This window comes from Homo sapiens, chromosome 16, assembly GCF_000001405.40.
Source record: "Homo sapiens chromosome 16, GRCh38.p14 Primary Assembly".
Classification (NCBI taxonomy): domain Eukaryota; kingdom Metazoa; phylum Chordata; class Mammalia; order Primates; family Hominidae; genus Homo; species Homo sapiens.
The window spans coordinates 84,667,687-84,673,623 of NC_000016.10; the positions used below are offsets into that span (position 1 = coordinate 84,667,687).

At 51.7% G+C, this 5,937-nt stretch overlaps 1 annotated feature.

The window, feature by feature from the left end:
• Window positions 4,793-5,294: an enhancer, noted in NCBI's record as "H3K4me1 hESC enhancer chr16:84706085-84706586 (GRCh37/hg19 assembly coordinates)". NCBI's record gives its function as "activates a minimal SCP1, AML or CMV promoter by ChIP-STARR-seq in naive and primed H9 embryonic stem cells {active_cell/tissue: H9 hESC(naive and primed)}" and the evidence as "EXISTENCE:reporter gene assay evidence [ECO:0000049][PMID:30033119]".

Below are 5,937 nucleotides of genomic sequence, written 5' to 3' on the forward strand. Positions count from 1 at the left end.
CCAGACTTCCTTTTGGTGTTGTGGGGAGGCTGGGACATTTCAATTCTGCTTTCATTGTGTTTCTAATTACTGTATTTTGCCAGGAATTTCATTCAGTTCCTTGATTGCAGGGCTAAGTCCCCGTGACCTGAAATGAAACTATTTGCTTAAATGTGTGTCAACTGGGGTAATTTGATTAGAAAAGAAACACAGAAACCAAGGGAAACAGCTTATGACAAGCAGTGTGCTATCTTTATCAGAAAAAATGCAATCACAATACTCTAAGAACCAGCTCTGTTTTCCTTCGGGCGCTCCCCTGCCTTGCTGGGGTTTTGCAAGGCCACCAGCAGAGAAGCCCAGGCACGGTTGTGCACCCTTTCCTTGTCCCTTCGGCAGGTCAGCATCGGGAGGGTTGGGGAGGGGTGTCTGCGCAGCCATCATACCTGATAAGGTGGTTAGAATTTGCCTCTGAGCCAGTGAGCCCCAAACGGGACCCGCTGCCCGGTGCCGACTTCCTCACCTGGGTTCTTTCGCATCCGCTTCAGAAGCATCTCAGGTTAGGTTGATAGTCTCCCGATTTTCCAGGTGAAGAATCCAAAGCTCAGGTTAATTACCTTACCCCAACTGTATTGTCTTCCCCGCCCAGCCAGTCAGTCGTTGCCTTGGTTTGAGTTCTCTTCAACGCAGAACCTTAGACAAGGACTTGGACACAGGTAGGGCAGAGAGGTGGTCCCCGGGAAGCCAGAATGCCATGAAGAAGGAGAGAAGGCCCACGAGAAGGTGCTTTATTGCCGAGTAACCCCAAGCCACGGCTTCCAACAATATCATGGCGGACCACTCTGCAGGTTGACTGGGCTTGGCTCAGAGGCTCTCCCCTGAGGCTCCTGCACGGTCACATGGTCATGGACAGGTAGTGGCTCTTGAAGGCGTGAGTGAGAACACACAGCTCCTCCAGCATCTCCCTCTCCCTTTCTTCTCTCTCCCTCTCTCCCTGCCTTCTCATTTCCCCTTCTCTTCCCCGCCCCCCCAGTCTCTTTCTCTCTCTCTCCTTGTTCACTTTGGTCTGGCTCTCTCTGGTCTCTTCACACGGCCTCACCTAGATTTCTTACATGGCAGCCAAAGGCTCCCAGAGCAAACGTCCCAGGTGTGATGAGCAGAGGCCACGTGGCTTCTGCCAGAACCTCCTGGGAAGTCAGGGAGTCAGTTTGCTGCATTTCACCTCTTGAGGCCATCAGAAAACTCCCCCAGGTTGCTGGCCCTGCGAGAGGTGTCAGCCGTGTCCCGTCCCTGACCCTGGAACCCTATCTGCAAACCATGGGAGGAGCTGGGTGTGATGGCTCACACCTGTAATTCCAGCACTTTTAGAGACCTAGGCAGGAGGATTGCTTGGGCCCAGGAGTCTGAGACCAGCCGGGGCAACATAGGGAGACCTCTGACTCTACAAAAAAAAAAATTTTTTTTTTTTTTTTTTGAGACAGAGTCTTGCTCTGTCACCCAGGCTGGAATACAGTGGCAGGATCTCGGCTCACTACAACCTCCACCTCCTGGGTTCAAGCGATTCTCCTGTCTCAGCCTCCCGAGTAGCTGAGATTACAGGCATGCGCCACCACACCCAGCTAATTTTTGTATTTTTTTAGTAGAGATGGGTTTTCACCATGTTGGCCAGGCTGGTCTTGAACTCCTGACCTCAGGTGATCTGCTCATCTCGGCTCCCAAAGTGTTGGGATTACGGGCGTGAGCCACCGTGCCTGGCTTTTTTTTTTTTTTTAACAGGGTCTTGCTCTGTTGCCCAGGCTGGAGTACAGTGGCGTGATCTTGGCTCACTGCAGCCTCCTAGGTTCAAGTGACTCTCCTGCCTCAGCCTCCCGAGTAGCTGGGACTACAGGCGTGTGCCACCATGCCCAGCTAATTATTATTATTTTTTTTAATAGAGATGGGGTTTCACCATGTTGGCCAGACTGGTCTCGAACTCCTGACTTCAGGCCATCTGCCCACCTCGGCCTCCCAAAGTGCTGGGATTACAGGTGTGAGCCACCGTGCCCAGCCAAAATTTTTTTAAAAAAAATTATTCAAGCATAGTAGCTCACACCTGTAATCCCAACACTTTGGGAGGCCAAGGCAAGAAGATCACTTGAAGCCAGGATTTCAAGACCAGCTTGGGTAACACAGTGAGACCTGATTTCCACAAAAAAAATGGAAAATCAGCCAGGCATGGTGGTGCATCGTTGTAGTTCTAGCTGCTTGGGAGGCTGAGGCAGGAGGATTGCTTGAGCCTGTGAGGTTCAGGCTGCAGTGAGCTATGATCACACCACTGCACTCCAGGCTGGGCTACAGAGCAAGACCCTGTTCTTTAAAAGAAAAAAAAAAAAGCCCTCAGTGGAAGGAAGGTATGTTCCTAAGGCCACTGCCTCAGACGGCAGGGGTTTGATGTTGCTGGGCCCGCATGCTGTCGGTTGGAGAGGAGAGCATTTATGGGGCCTGCGCTGCTCAGTGAGGGCTGCTCCCAGAGGCCTTGGCGCACTTCAGCTCCTGGCTGCCGTGCACACACAGAGCCAACCAACAGCCAAGCAGGGCCTGAGTGGCCATGGGACGGAAGTGCAGTGTGTGATGGAGGGGACACCGTCAGCACGTGGCCACCCCGAGCCTGCACTGGGTGCCCAGCGCCGCTGTGGCTAGAATCAGCAGAGGGCCAAGGGCCTGCACTAGGACACCAGGGGTAGCTGCTCAGCAGGGGCAGATGTTAACCCAGGTCTGCCAGCTAAGACCACATTTTTTTTTGTTTGAGACAGAATCTCACTCTGTAGCCCATGCTGGAGTGCAGTGGCACAATGTCAGCTCGTTGCAACCTCCGCCTCCTGGGTTCCAGCGATTCTCCTGCCTCAGCCTCCCGAGTAGCTGGGATTATAGGTATGCACCACCACGCCCAGCTAATTTTTGTATTTTTAGTAGAGACAGGGCTTCCCCATATTGGCCAGGCTGGTCTTAAACTCCTGACCTCAAGTGATCCGCCTGCCTCGGCCTCCCGAAATGCTGGGATTACAGGCGTGAGCCACCGCGCCTGGCCATATTTTTTAACAACTCTAAAACAACCACCACCAGAGTCTCTGTATAGGGTTCAGAATTGTGTCCCCAAAGGCTCCACTACAATGCAAATGTGTGAGTGGAGAGGTTAACCAGGGAAGCCCTGGACTTCCACAAAACCATCGGCAGAGATTTCTGTTACCTCACCCAAAGGGAACAGAGAGGCAGTGGATACCGGACAGGGCGTCTTCGTGGGGTCAGGGGAGGGCGGAGGGAGGACCCGCACAGACCCCATCGTTGCTACCTGTTGGCTGAGGCCTGGGCCACTCTCTCAAGGACCTGCCCACAGCCTTAAATCAAGACCGATTAGAACTCACTTTCCCGCTGGAGCACGATAGTTCTGAATGAACTCTGCGTTCACTCTCAACACACGTACTCATCAAGCCTCCACTCTGTGCCAGACAGGCGCTGTACTAGATGCTGGGGATCGGGTGGTGGACAAAGAAGCAGGCTGCCTGCCCCCAGGGGCAGAAACAGACCAACAAGATACATAGGTCAGGTGGGGATAAGTGATATGAATGTACTAAAACCCGCTGTGTTGTATACTTTTTTTTTTTTTTTTTTTTGAGACAGAGTCTCCCTCTGTCGCCCAGTCTGGAGTGCAGTAGCACGATCTCTGCTCACTGCAACCTCCACCTCTCAGGTTCAAGTGATTCTCATGCCTCAGCCTCCCGAGTAGCTGGGATTACAGGCACCGGACACCACACCTGGCTAATTTTTGTATTTTTAGTAGAGACGGGGTTTCACCATGTTGGCCAGGATGGTCTCGAACTCCTGATCTCAAGTGATCCACCCCCTTGGCCTCCCAAAGTGCTGGACAGGCGTGAGCCATAGTGCCTGGCCTACATTGTATACTTTCAATGTATACAAGTCAGTGGATTTTAGTACATTAGTTTGTGAATCTCAAACTACAACTTTTTTTAAAAAGCTCTGCAGGGGAAGGATGTGCAGCAAGTTAGAGGAGCAAAGTGCTGAAAATGTGAGAAATGGGAGCTGGCGCATCACAGAAGGCTGTGAGCTCGGGAAGGAGGTGATCTGATTCGTTTTCAAAGGAGAGCTTCGGCAGCTGCTGGGTGTGTGTTTGTGTGTGTCCAAGTCTATGAATTTTAACAAATAACCAATTATTCACAAAAATCAAAGCCCATTAATGGATGCATGGATAAACACAATCTGGTCTGTCCCTGCAACGGACTATTATCCAGTCCGTAATACAGAATTAAATTCTGATCCACGCTACAACATGGATGAACCTTGGAAACGTGATGCTGAGTGAAAGAAGCCAGACACAAAAGGCCACATGTTGTATGATTCCATTTCTGTGAAATGTCCAGAATTCGTCAGAATAGGCAAATTCATAGAGACAAAGTAGATTCGTGGATGCTTAGGGCTGGGGTGGGGACGAGGAAGGATGGGGAGCAACAGCTCAAGGGCACGGTATTTATCTTTGTGGTGATGAAAATGTTCTAAAACTGGGTGATGGTCGCACGCATCTGTGACTGTACAAAAAATGGAATCGTACACTTTGAATGGGTGAAATGTATGGTATGTGAATGATATCTCAAGTTGTTTAAAATATTAGAGCAATATTTCCCTCCATTCTCGGAGTTCTGTGTATTGGTCTCCTAGACAGTACAGGTTGAGAGGCAGAATTCAACCTCCCTGCTTAGATTCTAAAACGGGTTAAAACGGTGAGACTAGAGGCAACATTCATCTCAAGTCTGCGTGAGAGCAGAGCTCAGGGCATCCTCCAGGGGGCGCGCTAGAGCAGCAGTCCTGAAAATGCGGTCCCTAGACCAGCAGCGGCCGTGACAGTGGGAACTTAGCAATGCAAACTGCCAGGTCCACCCCCAGACCAGCTGAATCAGCCACTCCTGGGCTGGGGGCCTGCCAATGCGTGTGTTTACAATGTTTACAAGCCCTCCCAGTGATTCTTTTTTTTTTTTTTTTTTTTGAGACGGAGTCTTGCCCTGTTGCCCAGGCTGGAGTGCGGTGGCGTGATTTCTGCTCCCTGCAACCTCCACCTCCACCTCCCAGGTTCAAGCGATTCTCCTGCTTCAGCCTTCCAAGTAGCTGGGATTACAGGCGTGCGCCACCGCGCCCAGCCAATTTTTGTATTTTTAGTAGAGACGTGGAGGGGAGGGGTGGGTGAGGTGGGATTCACCAAGTTGGCCAGGCTGGTCTTGAACTCCTGACCTCAAGTGATCCACCCACCTTGGCCTCCCAGAGTGCTGGGATTACAGGCGCGAGCCACCGTGCCTGGCCCTCTCCTGGTGATTCTGATGCCTGCTCAAGTCGGAGAACCACTGTTCTCCAAAGGTATCTGTCTCCATTCTCCACCCACAGACCTACCTAAGCTATGAGTCCCTGCCCATAGCCAACAGCTGTGCCTGGCTTGCTCCGGCCGAAACCTGAACCAAGGGGCAGCTTTCAGATTAAGCACAGCCGGGTCTGAATCTTCTGCCTTGGGAAGTCTGGGAAAGGCCTTGGAGTCAGCCTCTGCAGGGGCATGCACCTGTTGCCTCCCTGAGAAAGTCACCTCCTCTGTGCCCTTCCTGTTGATGGCAGCAGGAAGGCTGTGGCATGGCCCAACCCTTTAACTGGTGTCCAGCATCCGCTGGCTGTGTGCTCAGAGCATGCTCAGAGCCTCATGCTCTGTTCGGATGGGATCCTTTTACCAGGTATGCTGCAATAGTGTGATTCATCCCCCCAGGGGCCCCAGCCCCACTCTTGCAGGCATCTAAAGGTGCTAAAAATACATAACTCCTAAGTGCGGTTCTGTATTTCTGACTGTACCAGTGTTGTGGGCCTTTTTATGCTCCAAGCTGAAATTCAAGAGGCCTGGATTCCAATATAAGGCCCATGATTAATGGGCCTCCA